This window comes from Homo sapiens, chromosome X, assembly GCF_000001405.40.
Source record: "Homo sapiens chromosome X, GRCh38.p14 Primary Assembly".
In the NCBI taxonomy this organism is placed as follows: domain Eukaryota; kingdom Metazoa; phylum Chordata; class Mammalia; order Primates; family Hominidae; genus Homo; species Homo sapiens.
Window position 1 is genome coordinate 151,663,258 of NC_000023.11, and position 24,617 is coordinate 151,687,874.

A 24,617-nucleotide genomic window follows, 5' to 3' on the forward strand; every position below is an offset into this window, starting at 1 on the left:
GAAGGTTTCCCTTTTCCAGAATGTCATGTAAGAGGAATCATATGACATCTAGCCTTTTTGGTCTAGCCCCTTTCACTTAGCAAAATGCATTTAGGATTCATCCACGTTTGCATGAATCAACGGTTCATTCCCTTTTATTGCTGAGTAATACTGCATCTTATGAATATATCAGGTTTTAAAACTTCATTCACCTGTAAAAGAACATCTGGATTGTTTCCAAGTGTTTTTTGATCATGAATAAAGCTACATTAAACATTTGCGTAGAAGTTTTTGTGTTGTATGAATATAAGTTTTCAACTCCTGGTTGCGGGACTGCTGGGTCATTTGGGAAGTATGTGTTTAACTTTATTAGAAACTGACAAAATGTTTTCAAAAATGACTGTACCATTTTGCATTATTCAAATAATGTTCTCCACTGTGCTTTTCAGGGCTGTTGAAACCAAGTCATGTCATAACACCTCCCAGAGAACTTTGAGCACTCCCGAGGTCCCACATTCTGGGCAACCCGATTGTGCAGAAGTGATTTATGACTAGATTTTATTTGGTTTTATCGGTTGGATGGTACTAAATCTCCAAAAGCAGAGCCAAAATAATTTTATAATGAATGAAATGACACTAACAAATGCAGTGGGTTTAGGCACTAGCTTAAGCTGGAGGGTAGGCAGTGGTAACTTCAAACACTCTCTCCCTTTTCTTCATTTTCAAATATGAACAGATTTTTAAAATAATATTCTGAATGATTCCTGGCACCTGGCACATCTCATCCTTAACATGGGCTAAAATGACCCTCGTACAGTCTTTTTGATAACATTAGTACTTTTGCTTTTTAAGTCATGAACTCCCCTGTGCTTTCTTCCTCAGCCTTATCCTTGCAAGACTTTCGAGGTGAGCCTGAGGTGAATCCATTGTACAGGGCAGACCCAGTGGACCTGGAGTTCTCGGTGGATCAGGTGGACTCAGTGGACCAGGAGGGCCCAATGGACCAGCAGGACCCAGAGAACCCAGTTGCCCCGTTGGACCAGGCAGGCCTGATGGATCCAGTGGATCCAGAGGACTCAGTGGACCTGGGGGCTGCTGGCGCAAGTGCTCAGGTACTCTGAAAGTCTCGCTTCACTCGCTTCACGTTTGTCTGGATAGCTAACCTTGCAAAGCCCAAATTTTCACTCTTGTGACCAGTTTCACTTCACAGAAAGTATGTTTGTTACTTTTTCAAAACTATATCACTATTTCTGTTATACTGGATTTTCAGATGCCGTTGAGAACTCAATGGACCCTCACAAACAGGGAGATTGGAGGTTCTCTAAGTAAGACCAAATCCCTGTGCTCTTCTTAATATGAAATCCCATGGACACTTTGTACTTGAGGAAAAGTTTGAGCCAAATAAGAAGCTTAGCTGCTAAGAAAAGGTGGTATTTTTAAGAGCCCTGCTTTTAATCACCTGTGAGAGCATGCTAACCATCTAGAGGGAAGACAACTTTCTGGCCTTCCCATACCAACCCTCTCCCTGCACCACAAGCTAGGTTTTCCCAGTGGAATTTTTATTAGGTTAGAACATGCATTTCAGAGTCGTTAGATATACCCAACCTTGAAACATCAGTACCAATGTACAGTCCACGGCCAAATCAAAATGGTTGGATTAACTACTGTGTAGTTCCTCTACCCTGAAATGTGTGTACATAACCACAGATTTCGATGATCATCTTTTATATTAGACAGGATTATTAAAATCAGGATTAGAAGCCAAGCTAATGAGTTGATGGTCAGTTACCTGGAATTGTGTGCGTTCATCACTGAGCCTAAGATTGAGTGACTCCGGTTCAAAAGGATCCTCATCCAGTGAAAATAATTAAGGGCTAGAACACAATTGTTTGAGTTTGGCCCCAGCAGTGTGGCCTTGGCAAATTACTGAGCCTCAGTTTCTCCATGTTGAAATGGTCTTGCCTTGCGGGGATTTGCAGACTGCTGTGAAAATTCTTTGAGCTATTTAAAAGGAAATTTCTGTGAAAATCTGCTGTGGCCTGATTTATGTCCTTATCATGCCAAAAAGTTGTGGTCCCCCTTTCACTGTTGACAGGTTTATCTTCTCTTTTGAATTAACTTGTAATTAAATTTTGAAGTATAACTTTTAAAAAATCACCAAAATAACCAGCAATGAACGTGTGTCATCTGGCTCTGCATGTGCTAGTGTATTAGGCTTATTCCTGGGTGCCATGTATCAGCAACCTGGAGTGTATCCAGAAGATGGAGACCAGGATGAGGAAGGGGCTGGAAAACATCTTAATCAGTTGCCGAAGACACTGAGAAGGGAAGAATGGGAAGGGACAGGACAGCTTTATCCAAGTAGTTGAAGGGTCATAAAGTGGAAGATATGGTTCCAGAGGATCAAGGAAGCAGTCTGACACTATTAGCCCTTCTCAGACGGATTAGGTCACCTCTCAAAATAGCAAGTCCTCTCTCCTTCGATGGAGTGGTGAGAGTCAATGCTTGGCAGCTCCTTTTCCAGGAAAAGCAAAGAAAATTTCTGCTTGGAGAGGGTGAGAGGATGTGATAACCTGTAGGGTTTGTCTCTTCTAGTCCTGAGTTTAGAGGGGTGTGTGTGTGTGTCTGTGTGGGTGTGTACACGCGCGTGCATGTGTGTGTGTGTGTTTTTTTTTTTTTGGTCTAATGAATGTCTGCTTTCTTATAGGAAGAGACATACAATACATAGTGAAAGAAGGACAAGTTGAACAATTTTCAATGGACTAAAAATACATATATAATTTTTATTCCAAATAATGAAAACAACAACTTGTAGGGTATTCTCTCTCTCTCTCTCAACTCATCTATGTACTTACATTACTCATAAAGGGTATTGATGAACCACAGTATAAGTCTATTTTTGGTTTCTGAAAGTTGCAAGTGTAGGTACCTTTTTCTTATCATTAATGTTGTAAATTCTTTATCGATCAGGACTGTGGCTCTCTGACCTTGTTTATATGCATGGTATCCAGCATAGTTCAGGGCAAATAGCAATTGTTCCCAGGCCCGACTTCCAGCCTTGAAAGATAATTATTTTCCAAGAATCTCATCTCTTTTCTGTCCCTCTCGGCCAATCAGTTGAGAAGTCTCATCCACCTTTTTTTTTCTCCTTTTTTTTTTAATTATACTTTAAGATTTAGGGTACATGTGCACAACGTGTAGGTTTGTTTCATACGTATACATGTACCATGTTGGTGTGCTGCACCTATTAACTCATCATTTAACATTAGGTATATCTCCTAATGCTATCCCTCCCCACTCCCCCCACCCCATGACAGGCCCTGGTGTGTGATGTTCCCCTTCCTGTGTCCAAGTGTTCTCATTGTTCAATTCCCACCTATGAGTGAGAACATGCGGTGTTTGGTTTTTTGTCCTTGTGATAGTATGCTGAGAATGATGGTTTCCAGCTTCATCCATGTCCCTACAAAGGACATGAACTCATCATTTTTTATGGCTGCATAGTATTCCCTGGTGTATATGGGCCACATTTTCTTAATCCAGTATATCACTGATGGACATTTGGGTTGGTTCCTAGTCTTTGCTATTGTGAATAGTGCCACAATAAACATCCGTGTGCATGTGTCTTTATAGCAGCATGATTTATAATCCTTTGGGTATATACCCAGTAATGGGATGGCTGGGTCAAATGGTATTTCTAGTTCTAGATCCTTGAGGAATTGCCACACTTTCTTCCACAATGGTTGAACTAGTTTACAGTCCCACCAACAGTGTAAAAGTGTTCCTATTTCTCCACATCCTCTCTAGCATTTGTTGTTTCCTGACTTTTTAATGATTTTTATTCTAACTGGTGTGAGATGGTATCTCATTGTGGTTTTGATTTGCATTTCTCTGATGGCCAGTGATGCTGAGCATTTTTTCATGTGTCTTTTGGCTGCATAAATGTCTTCTTTTGAGAAGTGTCTGTTCATATCCTTCGCCCACTTGTTGATGGGGTTGTTTGTTTCTTGTCAATTTGTTTGAGTTCATTGTAGATTCTGGTTATTAGCCGTTTGTCAGATGAGTAGATTGCAAAAATTTTCTCCCATTCTGTAGGTTGCCTGTTCACTCTGATGGTAGTTTCTTTTGCTGTGCAGAAGCTCTTTAGTTTAATTAGATCCCATTTGTCAATTTTGGCTTTTGTTGCCATTGCTTTCGGTGTTTTAGACATGAAGTCCTTGCCCACGCCTATGTCCTGAATGGTATTGCCTAGGTTTTCTTCTATGGCTTTGTGGTTTTACGTCTAACATTTAAGTCTTTAATCCATCTTGAATTAATTTTTGTATAAGGTGTAAGGAAGGGATCCAGTTTCAGCTTTCTACATATGGCTAGCCAGTTTTCCCAGCACCATTTGTTAAATAGGGAATCCTTTCCCCGTTTCTTGTTTTTGTCAGATTTGTCAAAGATAAGATGGTTGTAGATATGTGGCATTATTTCTGAGGGCTCTGTTCTGTTCCATTGGTCTGTATCTCTGTTTTGGTACCAGTACCATGCTGTTTTGGTTACTGTAGCCTTGTGGTATAGTTTGAAGTCAGGTAGCATGATGCCACCAGCTTTGTTCTTTTGACTTAAGATTGACTTGGCAATGCAGGCTCTTTTTTGGTTCCATATGAACTTTAAAGTAGTTTTTTCCGATTCTGTGAAGAAAGCCATTGGTAGCTTGATGGGGACGGCATTGAATCTATAAATTACCTTGGGCAGTGTGGCCATTTTCACGATATTGATTCTTTCTCATACCTGATTGCCCTGGCCAGAACTTGCAACACTATGTTGAATAGGAGTGGTGAGAGACGGCATCCCTGTCTTGTGCCAGTTTTCAAAGGGAATGCTTCCAGTTTTTGCCCATTCAGTATGATATTGGCTGTGCGCTTGTCATAGATAGCTGTTATCATTTTGAGATACGTCCCATCGATACCTAATTTACTGAGAGTTTTTAGCATGAAGGGTTGTTGAATTTTGTCAAAGATCTTTTCTGCATCAACTGAGATAATCGTATGGTTTTTGTCATTGGTTCTGTTTATATGCTGGATTACGTTTATTGATTTGCATATGTTGAACCAGCCTTGCATCCCAGGGATGAAGCCCACTTGATCATAGTGGATAAGCTTTTTGATGTGCTGCTGGATTCGGTTTGCCAGTATTTTATTGAGGATTTTTGAAAAGATCAACAAAATTGATAGACCGCTAGCAAGACTAATAAAGAAGAAAAGAGAGAAGAATCAAATAGACGCAATAAAAAATGATAAAGGGGATATCACCGCCAATCCCACAGAAATACAAACTACCATCAGAGAATACTATAAACACCTCTACGCAAATAAACTAGAAAATCTAGAAGAAATGGATAAATTCCTCAACACATGCACCCTCCCAAGACTAAACCAGGAAGAAGCTGAATCTCTGAATAGACCAATAACAGCCTCTGAAATTGAGGCAATAATTAATAGCTTACCAACCAAAAAAAGTCCAGGACCAGATGGATTCACAGCTGAATTCTACCAGAGGTACAAGGAGGAGCTGGTACCATTCGTTCTGAAACTATTCCAATCAATAGAAAAAGAGGGAATCCTACCTAACTCGTTTTATGAGGCCAGCATCATCCTGATACCAAAGCCTGGCAGAGACACAACAAAAAAAAAAGAGATTTTTTTTTTTTTCAGAGATGGGGTTTTTGCTTTGTTGCCCAGGCTGGTCTCAAGCCTCAAGCAGTTCTCCCACGTCAGCCTCCTGAGTACCTGGGATTACAGATGCAAGCCACCACACCCAGCTCAGCCTCTTTTTTATTACTGTTTTTTAAACTTTATTTTACTTTAAGATATTGTGGATGTTAATCTTTTTCTTAGAATTTTGTTTATTTTTGATATATTGCAGTTGTACATATTATATATACTATATGTGTGTGTGTATATATATATATATATACACTATATAGTATACATAGTTTAGTGCCAATTGATGGTTTTCATATTATATATATACTATGTATAGTGTATATATATACACTATATATATTATGTTGTACATAGTTTTGGATACATGTATATATTTGGATACATATACACAATGTGTAATGATCAAGTCAGGGTAATCAGGATACCCATCACTTCAAATATTTGTTTTTTCTTTGTGTTGGGAGCATTACAATTCTTTTAGCTATTTTAAAATATACAATAGATTGTTTTAACTCTAATTTTCCTACTTGAGTACTAGAACTTGTTCCTAACGTTTAACTGTATTTTGGTACCCAGTAATCAACTTCTCTTCATCCCCCTCTTCCCCATTCCCTTCCTAGCCTCTGGTAACCACCATTCTACTCTCCACCTCCATGATATCAACATTTTTAACTTTCACATATGAGTGAGAACATGTGATATTTGTCTTTCTGTACCTGGCTTATTTCACTTAACATAATGACCTCCAGTTCCATCCATGTTGCTGCAGGTGATGTGAATTTATTATTTTTATGGCTGAATAATATTCTATTCTGTATATATAACACATTTTCTTTAGCCATTTGTCTGTTGATGAATACTTGGGTTAATTCCAAATTTTGGCTATTGTGAATAGTACTGCAACGAACATGGGAGTGCAGATACCTTTTTGATCTACTGATTTCCTTTCTTCTGGTGTATACTCAGCAGTGGGATTTGCTGGATCATACGGTAGTTGTATTTTTCGTTCTATAAGGAACCTCCATACTGTTTTCCATAGTGGCTGTACTAATTTACATTCTTACCAACAGTGTATGAGCGTTCTTCTTTTTCCACATCCTCACCAGCATTTGTTATTTTCTTAATTTCTCTCAAATGTGTCTCTATATCGTCTACCTCTGGATTGTTCCATGCCCCTATTATCTCTATCCTGAATTACTCCCACAGCCTTCTAATTGACTTTTCCCAAACTCCACGCTTCGTTTCTCCCACCACTTGATCTTCTGCACAGCTGCCAGAAGGCATGTTTTATAACTGAGTTCTGAGCATCTTACATCCCTGATAAGATCTGGGTTGTAGAACACATCTTCTAGCAGCAGTGCCAGGTGACTGATGAATAAAATCCAAGTTCCTCGGCTGCCTGAACCTGTACAAAACTCTGGTTTCTCCTCTACGTGTGACCTGCCTTATTCCTTCTATTCCAGCTAATTTGGAGCATCATTTGCCCCATAGCACACTCTCTACTTTTATAAACCTGTACATTTGCTTCTTTCCAGATGTGAAGCTGTTATCCAAGTTAAAATTAGATTTCCAGGACCTAGAGGAGAGTCCATCTAAGTACTATATGAGAACAATAATAGTACCTGCTTTTCAGGGCTCTGTGAAGATCAGACCTGTGAGTTTTCGTACAGTGCTTAGAAGAGTGCCTGGAACAAAGGAAGTGCCAGTTGATGGTTTTCATTATTGCATTGCTAACAGGGGCCCTATTGGTGGACTGCCATTTGTGATTTGACCCAGGCGCAGAATACTTTGGCACTGGCCCATGACTCTTCCACTAAGGACTTTGGGCATGTTGCTTCATGTCTCTGGGCCAATTCCACTTCTTTCTTTTTGGGAAAAGAATCAGGCTAAATGATCTCCGTGGTCCATTTCTTATCTAGAATTCCTAAATTCTCTAACCATTTTTTCAAACTTTCTAGTAATGAATGAAATCAGGATTTGAGAGCTACCATTTGCATTCTCAGTCTTTCAGAAATTTTGAAGTGAAACAGGATGGTAAGACTTGGAGAAACCAGTGTTGCTATACATGAACCATAAGTAATTCCTCCCCACAGCCATTACAGCCATCATCACCAGTTGCATATGACATCATTAGCCAGGAACTGGAACTGATGAAGAAGTTGAAGGAGCAGCTAGAAGAGAGGACTTGGTTGCTGCATGATGCCATCCAAAACCAGCAGAATGCATTGGAATTGATGATGGATCACCTTCAGGTCAGTCAGGATGCTAGGTTTCAGGTCAGAGACCAGTTCTATATTAGTAGCAGAAGGAAGAGGAGAGAGGGACCTTGGCAAGCCTTAAGGAGTTAGTCAATGGTGTCTGCCGGTAGTGACAGCTGCTGCCCACAGGGTGATATGGGATATCTAATGTGATCTCCAGCAGGGACTTAGAGTTTTGCCCTTTTTCTCCTGGCTACAAGAGCTGAGATTGGCCCAGCCAGGCCTTGGCAATGGTAGATGTGGCTTATATATAGCCAAGGCTTCCTGTAGGCTTGCCTGTGGGCAGTCCTGCTCCATGCCCAGCTTGTCTTATGCCTTAAGGAAAGGTGTGGACTGTGAATAAGACCTTTGTGATACTGTGTCCTTACAGAAGCAGCCAAACACATTACGCCACGTTGTCATTCCTGATCTCCAATCTTCGGAGGCAGTGCCCAAGAAACAACAGAAACAACACGCTGGGCAAGTGAAGCGGCCTCTCCCACATCCCAAGGACGTCAAGTGTTTCTGTGGTTTATCTTTATCCAACTCTCTCAAAAACACTGGGGAGCTTCAGGAGCCTTGTGTTGCCTTCAACCAGGTATGGAAAGGCTGTTTTAACTGTGTATCTGAAAGGGGATTTTGTTTTCTTGAGGACTTTGACTCACTTGGTTCTCCTTAGGGGGTAGTGACTATCCACTTGGCTGCAATTTATTTGCCCAAGATAGTAAAAAATCCTGGGCTACCTAGACCTGAATGCACATGCTAGACCATGTATACATACATGTACATATGTGCTGGATTAGCAGACTCTCGCTGCCAGGTGCATGGCTGCAGCTAGTATCCAGTCTAACTAAAGTAGACAGTCACACAGATCACTATGTGCAGAGAGGCTCAACTGTTGTCACCTTTTGCTTTGCGAGAATTGAATGGGAGTGTTAAATAAGTTTCTGGGAGGCTCTTGCAGACACCAGGGTGCTTTTATCTGTTGCCTTTCGATGCAGCAGCAACTGGTGCAGCAAGAACAACACCTGAAGGAGCAGCAGCGGCAGCTGCGGGAGCAGCTGCAACAGCTGAGAGAGCAAAGGAAGGTGCAGAAGCAGAAGAAGATGCAGGAGAAGAAGAAGCTGCAGGAGCAGAAAATGCAGGAGAAGAAGAAGCTGCAGGAGCAGAGGCGGCAAAAGAAGAAGAAGCTACAGGAGCGGAAGAAGTGGCAGGGGCAGATGCTACAGAAAGAGCCAGAGGAGGAGCAGCAGAAGCAGCAGCTGCAAGAGCAGCCACTGAAGCATAATGTCATCGTGGGGAATGAGAGGGTGCAGATATGCCTGCAAAACCCACGTGACGTATCTGTGCCCCTCTGCAATCACCCTGTTAGATTTTTACAGGCCCAACCCATTGTTCCTGTCCAGAGAGCAGCTGAACAACAGCCCTCTGGCTTCTATCAAGATGAAAACTGTGGGCAACAGGAAGATGAGAGTCAAAGGTAAGACATGCATGGAATGGTGATAGTGGCTATGATTATTGCTTTTCCCTCATGGCTGGATCCCATGCCTGAGATCACAGACAGACGACCTATCCATGTGGCACCAGCGTCCCTCTCATCAATAGCAACTTGCTCTCAACTTGCCTTCTCTGTGGCCACGGCCATCATCCTTCTGCATGTGTGGTGCATGGATGAGCATCCATTGATGGAACAAAGGGGTACCCATGAAGAAAGGACTAGATAAGGAAGCCTCAATGCTAGGGAATTAGCCCACAAACCTTGAAATCACTTGGCTGGATTCCCCAAGCCCAGTCTCTTGCACAGGGTGTCTATGGACAAGTCTTGTGCCCATAGCTGAAAGACTTCTGGGCTTCCAGTTTCATTCCCCAACTTTCCTGGAATCTGGTGATGGCAGTAGGCCAAGTGCAGGTATCTCCCTGGCATTTATGAACAGTAAGAGGGAAGTGAGTGTGAAACAACTGCTAGATTGCTAAGATCAGCCAAGAACACATGAAGGCTAAGTCCTGAGTGGCAATATAGGGACATGAACACATTTCTGCTCAATAATAAGGTCTTCAGTTCCAAATGCTAGAAAGATAAGGTTCTTCTCAGCAATGAAAGGATTGCTTAGCACATAGTTGGGGCCCACTAAATAGTTTTGAATGAATGTTAGCTTTCTGAGACGGGCCTCCTAAAGCTCTCTGGACTTCCTTCTGGGCCTTGCTTTCGAATCAGTGACTTTGACATGAAGACTGCTTTAGGGCCATATTGTCCACTTGACCTGATCATCAGAATCCACCTGAGGAGGGTTTGGAAAGTATAGATTCAGAGTCTGGGATGGGGTTCAAAAATCTGTATTGATCACAAGACTTCCAGGCTTAGGGTTGTGGAGAGAGCACTGGATTTGGAGTTTGGAAATCTGCCTTACAGTCTCTGCTCAGCCATTAGCTCCCTGAGTGCTTTCAAAGTAGGTGAAATGACTTTCCAAGGCCACAGAGAGCATAGTTGTAGCAGGAACAAGACTGTCCAAGTAATATAAATAAAACCAGGTGAGACAAGGGATTGTAATTTCTCTCAGTGTCTACATTCACATTACTTTGACAAGTTGAATCTTAGTCAGGCCAAAGTGAGAATACAAACAAGTGAATCCTGTGGTGTAGCCACCAAAACCAAATGTGCCTGAAGCACCTACTGATGACCACGTGAGTGTCTCATCAGTTATCATGTCCAGATCCACATCACTGCAACAGCTTTCTTCTCTTACAGTTTTTATCCTGAGGCGTATCAAGGGCCCCCCGTGAACCAGCTGCCATTGATAGATACCTCAAACTCTGAGGCAATTTCTTCTTCCAGCATTCCTCAGTTTCCCATAACTTCAGACTCAACCATAAGCACCCTGGAGACCCCACAGGATTACATCCGGCTTTGGCAAGAGTTGTCTGATTCACTCGGTCCTGTTGTCCAAGTGAACACTTGGTCTTGCGATGAGCAGGGCACCCTGCACGGCCAACCCACCTACCATCAGGTATGGGACAGCCCCCTCCTTTTCCTTCCAGCGCAGGTCAAGAGGGATTCTGGGCCCCTTCCACATAAGGCACACACCCCAAGTGCATGCTGTGTGTGAGAGCCAGACTTCAAAGCTCAGTACATTTGACGGCAGTTAGTCACATGATGGTAGCACTCATTGCTGAGTAAAAATATTCTCTACAGGGTTCCTCAAAAAAGTGAGCTGGCCTAGTGAACCTTAGACGCAATCTGACTGAAACTTCTCTCAAAACTATGTTACATGGGCAAAGTGAGCCATGCCATGTTTTTAATCTGAGCTCATCGTCTGGTCCCAAGCCTCCTTTCAGACTTATGGATCTTTAGTTCTGCTACAAAATCTAAGACCTAGTGTAGGTATGTTTCCTTGTACTAAAAATAAACTTAGGGCCCCTCTGTTGAATGTGCTTGGTATCCATCTATGGGGTACCCCGTATTTGGAAGGGCAGGCCTACCTTGTGGATTATCTGCAGTGGCCATGTTTCCAGGATGGAAGCTGGTCCAGATGGCAGTTACGTAGCAGGTTTTGCTCCCCGCAGGCCCCCCACACACAATTTCACTAATGAATGGAACTTACAAAAGGTGTTTTCACTCTAGCTTTAAAAATCTTATTATAGCCTAACCTTTTTTTTTTCAAACAACAAAACCAAACCAAAATAACCAGAACAAACAGTAAGCTAAGGCAGAAAGGAGTTTAAATACTTGAGGCAAGCAAATGTATGATTATTTTCACATATACCCCTTGACTAACTGTGCCACCAGTACTGCTAGAAACTTGGTCACTTAGAGGGACTGCTCACACGGAGAGATCAGAGTGGGCAATAGGTCCTATGGTTCCTATGGTTCCATTACCAAGCCAGACTTTGTTGAGAACATCTTTCACGCCTATTTTTGAGGCACTTTCCCTCCTAGAGGGGGTCCTGAGAGACCAAGCCAGCACAAGGCTGAGCACGTTGCCCAGGGAAGTGGGAAAGGTCAGATTCTGAAAGGTTGCTCAGCTGGGAGAAAGCAGGGCAGGACCAAGTCGGAGCTTTCCTGTCCACAAAACCTCAGGGGCTCCCTGCTATCCTCAGGATGAAACCCGAGCTCCTCTTCTTAGCTTCCCAGCCCTCACTGCCTGCCCTGGCTTATCCCTACTGCCTTCTGGCACCTTTCTGCCTGCAGGTCCCCAGACACCTCCAGCTGTCTGTCCAGAGCCCAGCCCTGCTCCTTTTGCTCCCTGTGTCTTCTCCGCCCCCTTGGGTTCCAGTCCTTGAAACCTTGCATCACTTTGCAACATAACCCAAGGAATCCCTCCTCCTTAACCAGAAAACACCCCCTCAGCCCATACTTTGTAACACCATCTTTGTATCTATTCCTTCTCCCTCCTCCACACCCCAGTGTGGGTTGGTACGTCTCCTGTCACTTTGTTAAAGTGGGCCAAGTAGCTGCAAATCAGTCAGCATGGAAATGACTGAGCCCAAGACCCAAGGCTAGTGGCCTTGGCCGGCCATGGCTGGCAGAGAAGCTGGACAAGAGAGGGCCAGACACAGACCCAGGAGCCTTAAGACAACTTTGAGAAAGCCCAGGTCTGCTTCTGCTGCTCTTTAAGCTAAGATGCTGCTGGGAGAGAGAAGAGGAGAGGAACCTTATCTTCTGTAGCTCCTCCGTCTCCCATCACCTTGCAGGCTCATGTTCCAAAGAAGTATTTCTCAGCAGCTTGTGTATTTGAACTAAAGGATTCCTCCTACCACCAAAAAATGGGCCCACAGACTCTAGCAAACATTCCACCTTGTTTCACTTTTTCCTGGCAGGTGCAAGTTTCTGAGGTAGGAGTCGAGGGACCTCCTGATCCACAGGCTTTCCAAGGCCCTGCTGCATACCAGCCAGACCAGATGAGATCTGCGGAGCAGACCAGATTGATGCCTGCAGAGCAACGTGACTCAAATAAGCCGTGCTAACAGTACTTTCATGACCAGTGATGAGGGGAAATGGGGGGAGGGGGCAGGCCAATGAGGTCTGCATGGCCAGGGGACCTTCAAGGTGCGTAAAGTCCCTTGGGGTAGGGTTTAGTGGGTAGAGACTTATTTGTTTCCTGATAGGTTATGTTTGTAATTGTTTGTTAAGCACAGCCTGTTTCTTGGAAGTTATGCTGTAGAGGCAGCCTGTGATCCGTAGTATGCTAGGGTGTGACAGCAGCCAGCCACAGCTGGATCTGATGTCTTGTCTGCCCCGCCCAGCTTTGCATATCCATGTTCTACCACAGGAAGGTGGCCTGCCAAGAGTCTGCTCAAAGTTTTCAACATAAAGAATAAAGAAAAAAAAATGCCAAAGTGCTTTTCAATCTAGTAAATCTAGAGGGTTGTTTTGTCTTAGCCACAAGAATTCCGAGGTCTTGACCCTGATGATCAACCTGCCTCCCCTCCATAGTCTTGTTGGAGAAGCCCAGAGAGAATGGGACTCCAACTAAGGGAACCTGAAATCAACTCAATGGAGGCACTTCAGAGCTAAAATAATTATGGCTTCCTTGCTTAATAAACATTTTCGTTCACTGCAACTTTGTGAATTGATGAGTGACGTTTGGAACCTGACTGTGCCAAGGTCCCTGGTGAAGGGTTGGTTCCCTACAGTTAGGCCCCTTTTGTAGACCCTGCTCCCCTCAGTCTCTTGTTCACACCTCAGCTCCATGCCACATTTGCAGAGGCCAGCGACTGCTGCCTTCCCACATGGCCGTGTGCCCAGGCCCGCTGTGTAGCTTTTTTTCGTGTAGCTCAGGCATGCTGGCTCCTTCATTGACACCAAGGGCAGCCACAGGCCCACTGAACTCTGAAACAGTTGGCCTAGGGGCTACCTTCTCAGGGTGGATGGTGTTTGTGCCTCACATATTACTTCAGAAGTAAGCCTGAACACTAAAGGGCAGTGTACCCATACCTTTTACATGTGGGTTCTTTCTCTCCCATCAGTAGACTTTTTAATAGATAGGAGTACCCCCTAGAGGGAAAATAATTTTGGTTACAAGTCAAGCACCAAGAAGGACATCTTCACAGTTGTCTGCATGGTGCAGAGAGAGGTTCGGATAGCCAAACCAGAGGTCATTGTGTGCCTTTCTTAAGGTAATGAGCCATTGGTTGGAGAAAGCAAAGGAGACCCCAGTCTCTAGTGGCAAGTTAAAATAAAGGAGGCACATTAGGCCTCACATCACAGGAGAAGCCAGAGATTCTTTAGGAAGCGTGATCTCTACCATGGTTTTATGGACTGAATGTTTGTGCCCCACCCCAAATTCATATATTGAAGCTGTAACTGCCCAGTGTCGGAGTGTTGGAAGATGATGCCTTTGACAGGGGTGATTAAGGTTAGATGAGGTCACTAGGGTGAGACTGTCATGACGGGATTAGTGCCCTTAAAAGAAGAAACACCAGGAAGCCCCTTCACGTGCACATGGGCGCATGCACGCACACACGTACGCACGCACACACACACACACACAAGAGGTCCTGTGAGCACACAGCAAGATTGTGGCTGCCTGCAAACCAAGGGAAGAGGCTCCAGGACAGAACCTACCTTGCCAAAGACTTGATCTTGGGTTTCCAGATCAAGCCACCACACATGGCAGAGCTTCCAGAAACAGCCACCGCGACCTCCACATCAGTTCATTCCCAGGTGGGCAGTACAGCAGTCCTCACTGAGCAGCGCTCAGTCTGTATGTACATAATAGAACATTGCATGCACAGACTTAAAGCTGAATATTCATGTTTTCTAAACACATCAAACATTCATAAATGTTCCTATTCCCAAGCACATTTTCTAATAAAGAAGGAAGAGTTATTAAAACTACCAGCTCCAGTCCATGTTTGCAGCACACACCACAGCATGGGCTGATGCCCACTGTGGTGTCTTTAGTGTGTTTTGACGCGTATTTTGGAGACAATGAAAAGGAAGGTAGCTATAGAATGTTCTTGGGTATGACTTTTGTTCATCTCTGCCAAAATCACCGGGAAGGAAAGGTTGGGGAAGAAGGGCTGGAGTGACAGGAAGTGGGCCGGGCAGACGTGGGAACTGGGAACTGCAGCTTCAGGCCAAACTGCCTATGAGGTGAAAGGAGGGAGCTGGTCCTCCAAGGCCTTGGAATGCGTCTCTAGCCTCAATGGAGACTGCAGTAAACTTCACCTGCATCTCTTAAAATGGGCCACATCAACCTTAACGAAGACTCTGGTTTACAGCTAGGACCAAATTAAATATTCCCTAGGGGATATTAAATAATTGGGATTTTTGTTTGGTTTATTTTAATGGGTAGGGAAGACAGCATCGAGTGCTTCTCCATCGCCTATCAAATAGAATCCAGATTCTCCACCTGGCCTGGCCTCGCCCTTCCTCTGCAGCTGCATTTATCTCCTCCAGTCATGCACTCTGCCCCCAGTCCCCCGAGCCCTTGGGTTTCATAGAAGTCCTGGGCCTTTTTGCCCTTCTACATTTGTCACTATTCCGTATTATCTTATGCCCTTGCCTCCCAGCTCTATATTTTCAACCCTTGCCCACCACCATGCAAAGCCTGGCTGGGAAGGAGCCCTGCTCCATGTACCCCTACCCCCGCCTCTACCTCACTTGGAGTACACATGTCATTGCCCTTCTAGACTGAGCTACAGTGGGCAGAGATTGGGACAGATCTTGGATGCCCCCGTAACACAGTACCTTGCAGGTAAGCGTTTCCTCTATGAATGTTCGCAGCTCCCAGGCCCCAGGAAAGCCTTCCTCCAGTGCTCATTATTTAGGTAGAGCCCTTCTTAAGCTTCTGAACATTAACCAGAAACCTTGCAGCTCTTCCTCAGGGAGGAGCTCCTCGATGAGGGACTGTCAGACCTGCGGGCATGCCCTGCAGTGGGGGTGCAGTTCTGGCCCTGGGACTACAACTTTCCTGTGGGTCTGGGGGCACAAGGGAACTTGGTAGATGAGACAGCAGGGTGTAAGTCATGAAGTGCAAAGCACTGCACACAAGTTGGTGAGCATCCCTAGTGGTGGCTCCAGTTAGCCTCTGCAAATCTCTTTGTGGCACACGGAAGTCAGGACCACTGCAGGGAGATGGGGGCTGTGGGGAAGTGTAGGGGGAATTGACGGTGACAATTAAATGCCAAGAGGCCCAAAACTCCTGGAGCCATGGATGTTTCCTGCCCAGATGGAGGCCCTGACCCCAAAGGTCAAAGGCTAATTAACCACCTGGTCACCTTGTTGATGAAACAAAACCCACAACCCTGCAGAATCAAAACATGTCAATTACAGAGAGGCAAAGGTCGGCAGACAGGACAGACAAATTGCAGTATTTAGAATGGTGCAGTCAAGTGTTTGTGCAATCTATTTCCAGTTCTACCATGTGGGCAAAGTAGTTAGGAGAGGGGCTGGAAATTTGGCTGACTAGGAGTGGGGCGGACTTCAGCACAGAAAGAGGCTCAGGGCTCTAGGTAAGAGCCATGCTCTTGAGGCCATTTACACCCCAAACCTTGGACATGCTGTCTGCTAGGAAAGGCAACCTAGGACTGCTTGCGAAAGGGGTAATGGGACAGCAGAAGACTCAAGATGGGGGTCTTGAACTGAGTTCAGTGCTGCTCTTTTATTGTTCCCCTCACTTGTCAGTAGGCAGTGCCCACCAGTTTCCATGTGGGATATGGTGCCAATAGAGGCAAGGCATTGAATGTTTAGGCTTCTACCTGCTACCCACCTACTGTGAAACTCTGGGCAAATCACTTTACCGCTCCCTGTCTCTGCTGACTCACTGGAACATAGGGACAAAGATAAGACACTTGCTTGAGAGTGAGACTAGAATCCAGAGGCCCTCCTGGATCAAGGAACCAATGAATGAGTGAGAGAACAAATGTCAGCCTGTCTCCCTGCCATTCTGAGCCTTATGTTCTCCATCTCAGCTCTGATGAAGAGACAACGTGGGTTCCTGGAAGATGGCCATACCACAGAGTGCATCTCCACCCTTATTGCATTCACCTCCCCCTCTCTCTTCTCAGGCCAGTTGCGTCTTCTCTTCTGGTCTTTATCAGCACACTGTTCCCCTCCTTTAACTCCTGCACTGCCTCCTCTTTTGGATAGGCACCTCCATCCTCTGAGTCACCCAAGCTAACACGCAGACTCTGCCTGAATCCTCCCTTTCTTCCATCTATCACCTTAGACATAATTGTCTGTTTCTTCCACTAACACGGGGAAGGGAACATGAAAGTGTGAATTAATGAGGAAGTAAATAAATGAACAGATGACTGTCCAGTCTCTATTCTCTTCTGTTCCCAGGCTCAGCATGGGCTGGGCTTACAGGAGGCATCAGGGGAGATCTGGTGGTCAAGGGTTCTCTCCACCAGAGCCTTCCCATGCTCCTCCTTAGGCACGGACACTTTTTCCAGGCTCAGGGCTCTTAGCTCTAGGAACCCTCTAGGTTAGGGCCAGCCCCTAAGACTATAACCTATGGTACCAGCCTTGGGAAAGATGTTCGATGGCTCTTCAGGGCCAGCACATAGATTGTGATTCTTGGTACCATATCTCAGGGTGCCCCTATAACACTCAGAGTCAGCTTCCTGGGGTTGCCGAGGGCTGGGGCATTGCCCAGCGCCTAGACATGGACAAGAGCACAGGATGGGTGGAAACGAAGGAAGTTCCTTTATCTGTGTCTTAGATTCATGGTTTCATCTGTCCTTGCCCCACACACCCCACCGCCACCAATTTGGTGGTAGATACAGCAGGCTCCAGCTCAGGTAGGCAGCATCATGCACCCCAAAGCCCTAGGAGCAGTCAGGTAGGCCAGTGGCGCTCAGGACACACAGCCCTCAAGCCCTAGGTTGGGTGTGGTCAAACTCATTTCTTGTCATCTCTTGCCCCCTGGTGCATGGTCACAGTATTGCAGCTTTCCAGGGTCCTCCCTTGTGACCAATTCGGTTAACATTTTCTGACTACCTATTCCAGGTCAGGCCCTAAGCCATACAGAATTCTGTTCTCAAGGTTTCAGTCCAGCCCTTGGTCAACTTTCTGATGAATCTTCCTTCTCTATTCTCCTCAAGCACCCCAAGGCCATGATCCATCATATAATCATCTTCTTTCTCTTTTTTGCTTCTGTCACAATTGACTGACAAATTCCCACCCTTGGATGAACTCAACTATGCCCTCTGTGTGTCTGCACTTATGCACCTCCGTGCTTCTAGAGAAAATCACACACATTGGCAGATTGTGTACCGCTGTAGGCTCATGATCTTCAGCCTCACCAAGGCACATCTCGCTGCTCAGGACTTCCGTGTTTGGTGTCTTTCCAGTCCGGTTCTCAGAATGGTGATTCGCCCTTTCCTCAAACTCCCCATGTCTTTCCATTTCCCTCTTGCTTTCTTTGTTAATACTCAATTTAGATGTTACAAGATATGGAATAGAAATTCCCTCATCCTCCCATCACTAATCCTTCGTATGCTTTCCTCTGACTGAACTCAGCTTTCTGCAAGCTAAAATGGCAGAAGTATCCCTTCTCCTTTCTAAGGCTGATGTCTTCATTTGTGTTCTGGATCCCATCCCATGCCACTTGCCCCTCCCTCCACCATCAATGAATCCCCCTTTCTACTTGACCAGTCCCATCACCATAGAAACTTGCGATATTTTCTGTCTTTACAAAAAACCAATCCTTGACTCCCACATCCCTCTCCAGTAAGTGTCACATTTCTCTGCCTGTGTTCAAGGCACTTGTCTGCATGTATTGTCTCCTCATCTTGTCTTCCCAGTATACCCAACAAGTTCAGCTTGTGTCCTTTTAAGAAGTCTCTCTCTCTCTCTCTCTCCACACATGCACAGAGGAAAGGCCATATGAGGACACAGCAAGAAGGCAGCCATCTGCAAGCCAGGAAGAGAGCCCTCACCAAGAACCAAATTTGCAGGCACCTTGATGGTAGACTTTTAGCCACCAGAACTGTGAGAAAAATGGATGCTTGTTGTTTACATCACCTAGTCTATGGTACCTGGATGTGGCAGCTTAAGCTGACTAATGCAGCCACCTAGTTTGTGGTACTTTCTTAGGTGGCCCTAGCAAACTAATACTACTGGGATCATCCTTAACTACATCTTTTTGTTCGACTCCAAATATCCAATTAATGTCCACATTTTGTTGGCTGTGCCTCCAAAATCCATCTGGAATCCCTCTATTGCTTCCCATCCCCAAAACTCCCATGATCATCTGTCACATGTGCATTCCCCACACAATATCACAGTGATCTTTACAAAGTATAAAGCTGATCATGTCATTCTCTTGCTTAAAACTCTCCAGTGCATTACATTATTATCAGAAAGAGGGTCAACCCCTTGAAAAGTTCTCTAGGGCCCCTCTCCAAACCATCTCCTCTTACTACCCCCACCCTTGCTCACTACGTCCCAGCCACACTGGCCCCCTTTCTGGACATCGAGCCTCAAACTCACGTCACATGACTGACTCTTTCCCTTTAGGTATCAGCTTAATTGTCACTTCTTCAAAGGGGAAGTTGCAATTGTGAGATCCAAAAATGGATTTTTTTCTCATCTTATTTCCTAACTGGTTATTGTTGATTTGTAGGAAAGGGGCTGAATTTTGTAAAATTGGCTTGATTCCATCTGTCTTGCTAAACACAGTTCTTAGTTAATCATCTTTAGCTTTCTAAGCAGCTAATCATATAATTTGTAAGTAATAATACATTTTTATAGTGGGGCATTTCTAATAGGTTTGCATCTTGTTTCTTGTCCAAATCTTACTACATCACTTTAAGTAAGATCCCCTTCCTTGTTTTAAGTAAGATCCCCTTCCTTGTCATAAGTGCTCCTAACAACACAGCACATCTTAACATCTTAATCTGTACTTATATGTTGTTGTGTCTAATAGGTAAGTGAATACATGCAGTGAAACAGATTGAATGAGTAGACTGTGTGGCTTTTGCTCTCCCCTCTGAACTACAAGTATCATAAAGTGGGGACAGTGATTGAGTTCAAGCAACAAGGTGGGCAGTCATTAGATGTCTATTGAAAAAAAAAGAAGGAAATAAATGAAGATGCTTTAATAGAAGCATGTAATGGCTTGTTGAGTGGAGGTAAAACATGACAACAAGACCATTCCTAGATGAAAGGGGAGTGTCAGCACAGGTTTCTACCGGATCTCAACTCTAAATGGATGTTGCCAGGTAGAGAAGCGGGGTGCACATTACAGGGAGAGGAAGCAGCCATGGCAAAGGCCAAGGAGCTATGGAAACCTTATAAACCCCACCTCGCTAGATGGTCTGCCACACCTGTGGGCCTCTGGATTTCCTGTTTCCTCTAACTCTAAAACCACAAGAAAACTAAGAAACGAAGTGCGTGAATTATCTTTCTGATCCCTGTATGGATAGGTGGATGGGTGGATGGGGCTTTCTACGTTTAAAAGAAATGGAAAGAATCACAAAGGAAAAACAAAGCAATAGATTGATCTACATTAAAATAGTAAACTTCTGCATGTCAAACATATTAGCACCAATAAGAGGCAAACCAAAGCATAAATATGTGCTATATAATGTGCAAAGAACATATGAGAATTAATTTAAAAACACTAAGATTGCAACAGAAAAATGAGGCCACACAGTTAATGCACAGAAAATAAAAGGAAAATGGTGAATGAACATGAGAGAATATAAGCTTGACTAAAAATGCAAACTAAATAATGAAATATTAATAAATTTTGCAAGGACTATTAAATTGCGATATTTCCTGCTGGCAAGGGTGAAGTGAAATGAACACTTTTATGCACTGGGATGTGGTACAACCTTGTTGTATAGCAAATCAGATCTACAGAGTAAAGCCTCTTAAAGGCTCATATTCTTTAAACCCGTAATTTTATTGCTAGAGATCTATAATTCTACTTTTAAGAGTGGGTAAATATTTATAAAAAGATATTCATTTTCAGCATCAATTACAGTAATAAACAGTAGAAACAGCATGAGCCTCCAATTACCTGAGGAATTCTTAGATAAATTTTGAAACCTCCATAAAATGGAATACTTTACATCCATTAAAAATACTGCAAATAAACAAAAGTCATTTAATAAAATTTAACTTCTATTTCTGATTAAAATGATAAATAGTAGTGAAAGAGGAATCAAATGATTCTTTCTCAATATGATGCATTCAGTGTATCATAACCAATGGTAAATGTTGGTGTAAATCGAATCACAAGAGGCATTGCCCTGAAAGCTAGGGACAGGATCTTGTAGTAAGATTATGTCAAGAAACAAATAGCATACATACTGAGGTGGAGGAGACACATTCATCGTTATTTGCAAATTGTATGCTCATCGTTTAGAAAACTAAACATGTTTAACTAAGAAACATTTTTAAGCAAAGCTGATGGATACAGGTAATTTTACAAAAATCAGCATCTTTCTCACAAACTAGCAATAACAAGTTGGCAACTGTAATGGAAATCACAATTGCAACAAATATATATATATAAAACAACTATGCGTAAAATATTTTAAAATGTGCAGCATCTAATCTATAAGAAGAAAACTAGAAAACTTACCTAGGAATATTAAACAAGATAAATGAAAATATTAACACCAAGAGATTGATTGAAAAGATTTATATTGTAAAGATACCAGTTTTCCCAATTTTAATCCAAAAATTTAATACAATTGCAACCAAGATATCAATGGTATTTCTTCTTTTGTAACTTTATGAAACTATTCTAGGGGTTAGATAACAGAATAAATAAGCAAAAATGAACAAGAAAATTGGAGGGAAAGAAGCAGAAATGATTAGGGACAAGAGGAGAGAAGGTAATTGATCCACTAGATAATAAAAGTTGTGCTAAAGTTACACTGGTTTCAACAAAAAAGAAACACCTGGTAAAACTAGTGCTTCCATCAGTGTGGAAGAATTGTGGCTCCAAAATAGCTTTAAAGACACATCTGAATGGTGGCTCTCTGGTCAGTAGGGAGGGGAGAAGATTCTTAAAGGCTGAGGAAATATTAATTGTCCATATGAAAGAGACACTGAGAGGGTGGTTAATGGATATTAAGTCTCCTAAGCTACCCCTTCTCTCCAACAGTGGTGGAGAAATAACAGTTCCCAAACAGAATAAACACTTAGAAAAATACAGTTAATCCCTAGCTTAAATCTTAAGCCAAATTCAATTTCATACAGGGATTAAAAATTTACACATTATCTAATGAAAACATAAAAAGGTAGGTGAAAATAACAAATATTTTAAGTGTTGGAAGTGGAGAAAACCAAAGCATGAAAGCAAAGGGAGAAAATGGTCAAATGTCCAAGACGCATGTACAAGCAGGGCCATAACAGCATTGTCTACAATAATAATAAAAAAAAAAAGGAAATAGGTAAAGAAGTATTAGTTCAGCCATACTCTGTACTGCCTTGACAGAGATGCCCATGAGATCTCAAGATATTGTTAAGGGCAAAAAGGCAGTTCATAATTCCTTTGTGTGTGTGAAAAAAAAATGTACGTGAAAGAAAACATACAGAAGGGTAGAAAACATACAGAAGGATAAATAGGAAAGTACTAAAGTGATTCTCAACAGATCAGGGGATTATGGGTGAATTTTAACTTTCTATTTCATGTATTTGTGTTTTGCCTGAATATTTTATAATGTATATTTTATGAATTGTATAATTAGATTAAAAAAACAAAGGAAATTAAAAAACTTTTTACAGTGTATGAACTAAATGATGTAAAATTGAATTTGTAGAGTGAAAAATAAGAAGGTGATATGTAAACATTTTAATAATGGCTTTCTCTGGCTGGTGGAATTGTGAGTGGTCATTTTCAAAATTGCCACCATGAGAACATATTATTTTTAGAATCAGAACAAAAAGATACATGTATAATTCCTATGCTACATGGTGTGGAATGATATGAGAAAGGCAGGAGGGAGCTGAGGTTACAGAAATGTACAAGACAGAAATGTCCCTGACCTCATGAGACCAATAATCTGGTGGGAAAGACAGACCGATCACAAGGAAATAGGAGTGAATCAGAAAAATGTCAGAGGGCAAATGCTCTGGAGGAAAGAAAACAGGAGCTGAGATACAATGTAGAAGGGGATGAGCTATTTGCAGAGTATATCTGGGAAGGCTTCTTTGAGGTTGTGACATTAGAGCAAAAAGCTAAAAGGCAAGAGGGAGCCAGCTATGGAAAATTTAAGGGCGAATCATCTGAGCTAATCTCCTACCACTCTTTTATGGTGATATTTGATGTAGACACACTGAGCTTCTGTCAGATTCCTGTGTCCCTAGTTCCACAGGACAGTGCCAAACCAAAGATCAGATTATGGGCAACACAAGAGGTGGGTGCTCTGTTGCTAAGGAGCCAATACCACATACTAAAAACTATACTCTAAGGTAGGGAGGGAGGTGTCTTAGTCCATTTGGGCTGCTATAACAAAACACCTTAGACTGGGTAACTTATACACAGCAGAAATTTATTGCTCACAGTTCTGGGGGCTGGAAAACCCAAGATCAAGGCACCAGCAGATTCAGTGTCTGGTGAGGGCTGTCTTCGGATGGCTCTGTTTTCATGGCCTGATCATCCCTTAAAGTCCCACCTCTTAGTACTATCACATCACATTGTTAATCAGGTTTCAACATATGAATTTTCTGAGGGACATAAATATTCAGATCAAAGCAGGGGGCTAGGTGGAAAGTCCCATCCCTCACTAGAACCAGGGAAGTGGGTGAAGAATTGCCTCATGGTAGCCTTGCATAATAGAAAGGAGAGTGGAAAAGGGTCTTGTGGCAGCTCCTCACAGGACTTCCCATCTTCTGACATTCCTGGGAGGATCATCAGGCACTCCGCCAAGACTGGACTCAGACTGTGGTTGAGCCTTGCCTCTGGCCTGTGTGAAATCTTTCCCTCCACTCCTTGTGCCTCATACATGCCAACCACACTTTTGTCCCAGGGCCTTTGCACATACCATTTCCTTTTACAAGAATACTCTTCTCCCAGTTATCTACGCAGCTATCACCCTTATTCCTTTAAATGCTTCTCGAATGTTACTTCTCAGTGAGTCCTTCCCTGACCAACTAGTTTAAAACTGCAATCCAGAGGCAAAGCAAGATGGCCAAATAGAAAACTCTACTGATCGTCCTCTCTGCAGGAACACTGAATTGAACAACTGTCCACACAAAAGAAGCACCTTCATAATAACTGAAAATCAGGTGAGCAATCACAGTTCCTGGTTTGATAAGAACCAAAAATCAGGTGAGTAATTACTGTTCCTAGTTTTAACTTGATATCACTGAAAGAGGCACTGAAGAGGGTAGGAAAGACAGTCTTGAGTCACCAATGCCACTTCTCTCCCATCCCCTGGCAGTGGCCAATAGTCTGGCATGGAGAAAGAATCTCTGAACCTGGTGGAGGGAGAGTGCAGTGATTGTGAGATTTTACATTGAAACTCAGTGCTGCCTTGTCAAGTGGAAAGCAACACCAGGCACAGCTCAGCTGGCACCTATGTAAGGAGCATTTAGACCAGCCCTAGCCAGAGGGGAATAACCCATCCCAACAGTTAGAACCTGAGTTCTGGCAAGCCCCACTACTCTGGGCTAAGATGCTCTGGGGTTCTAAATAAACTTGAAAGGCAGTCTAGGCCACAAGGACTGCAATTCCTGGGCAAGGCCTGGTGCTGAACCAGGCCCAGAATCAGTGAACTTGGAGTGCAC

At 43.3% G+C, this 24,617-nt stretch overlaps 1 protein-coding gene across 2 annotated transcripts in view, besides 2 other annotated features; it reads left to right on the forward strand.

The window, feature by feature from the left end:
• PASD1 (PAS domain containing repressor 1) overlaps positions 1-13,482 on the forward strand; it is a 113,065-nt gene extending 99,583 nt beyond the window's left edge. The window contains exons 11-16 of one of the 2 annotated variants that reach the window (NM_173493.3): positions 862-1,091; positions 7,781-7,939; positions 8,316-8,522; positions 8,926-9,404; positions 10,671-10,929; positions 12,740-13,482. In NM_173493.3, coding sequence (NP_775764.2) covers positions 862-1,091; positions 7,781-7,939; positions 8,316-8,522; positions 8,926-9,404; positions 10,671-10,929; positions 12,740-12,886 — 1,481 coding nt within the window. In that variant the 3' untranslated portion in view covers positions 12,887-13,482. The remainder of the gene's footprint in view (positions 1-861; positions 1,092-7,780; positions 7,940-8,315; positions 8,523-8,925; positions 9,405-10,670; positions 10,930-12,739) is intronic. The other variant, XM_011531102.3, reaches the window with a different exon arrangement.
• Positions 2,286-2,486: a silencer, noted in NCBI's record as "peak7437 fragment used in MPRA reporter construct". NCBI's record gives its function as "represses an SCP1 promoter by STARR-seq MPRAs in K562 erythroleukemia cells {active_cell/tissue: K562}" and the evidence as "EXISTENCE:reporter gene assay evidence [ECO:0000049][PMID:32103011]".
• Positions 17,741-17,880: a silencer, noted in NCBI's record as "silent region_21057". NCBI's record gives its function as "represses an Ori minimal core promoter by ATAC-STARR-seq in GM12878 lymphoblastoid cells {active_cell/tissue: GM12878}" and the evidence as "EXISTENCE:reporter gene assay evidence [ECO:0000049][PMID:35858748]".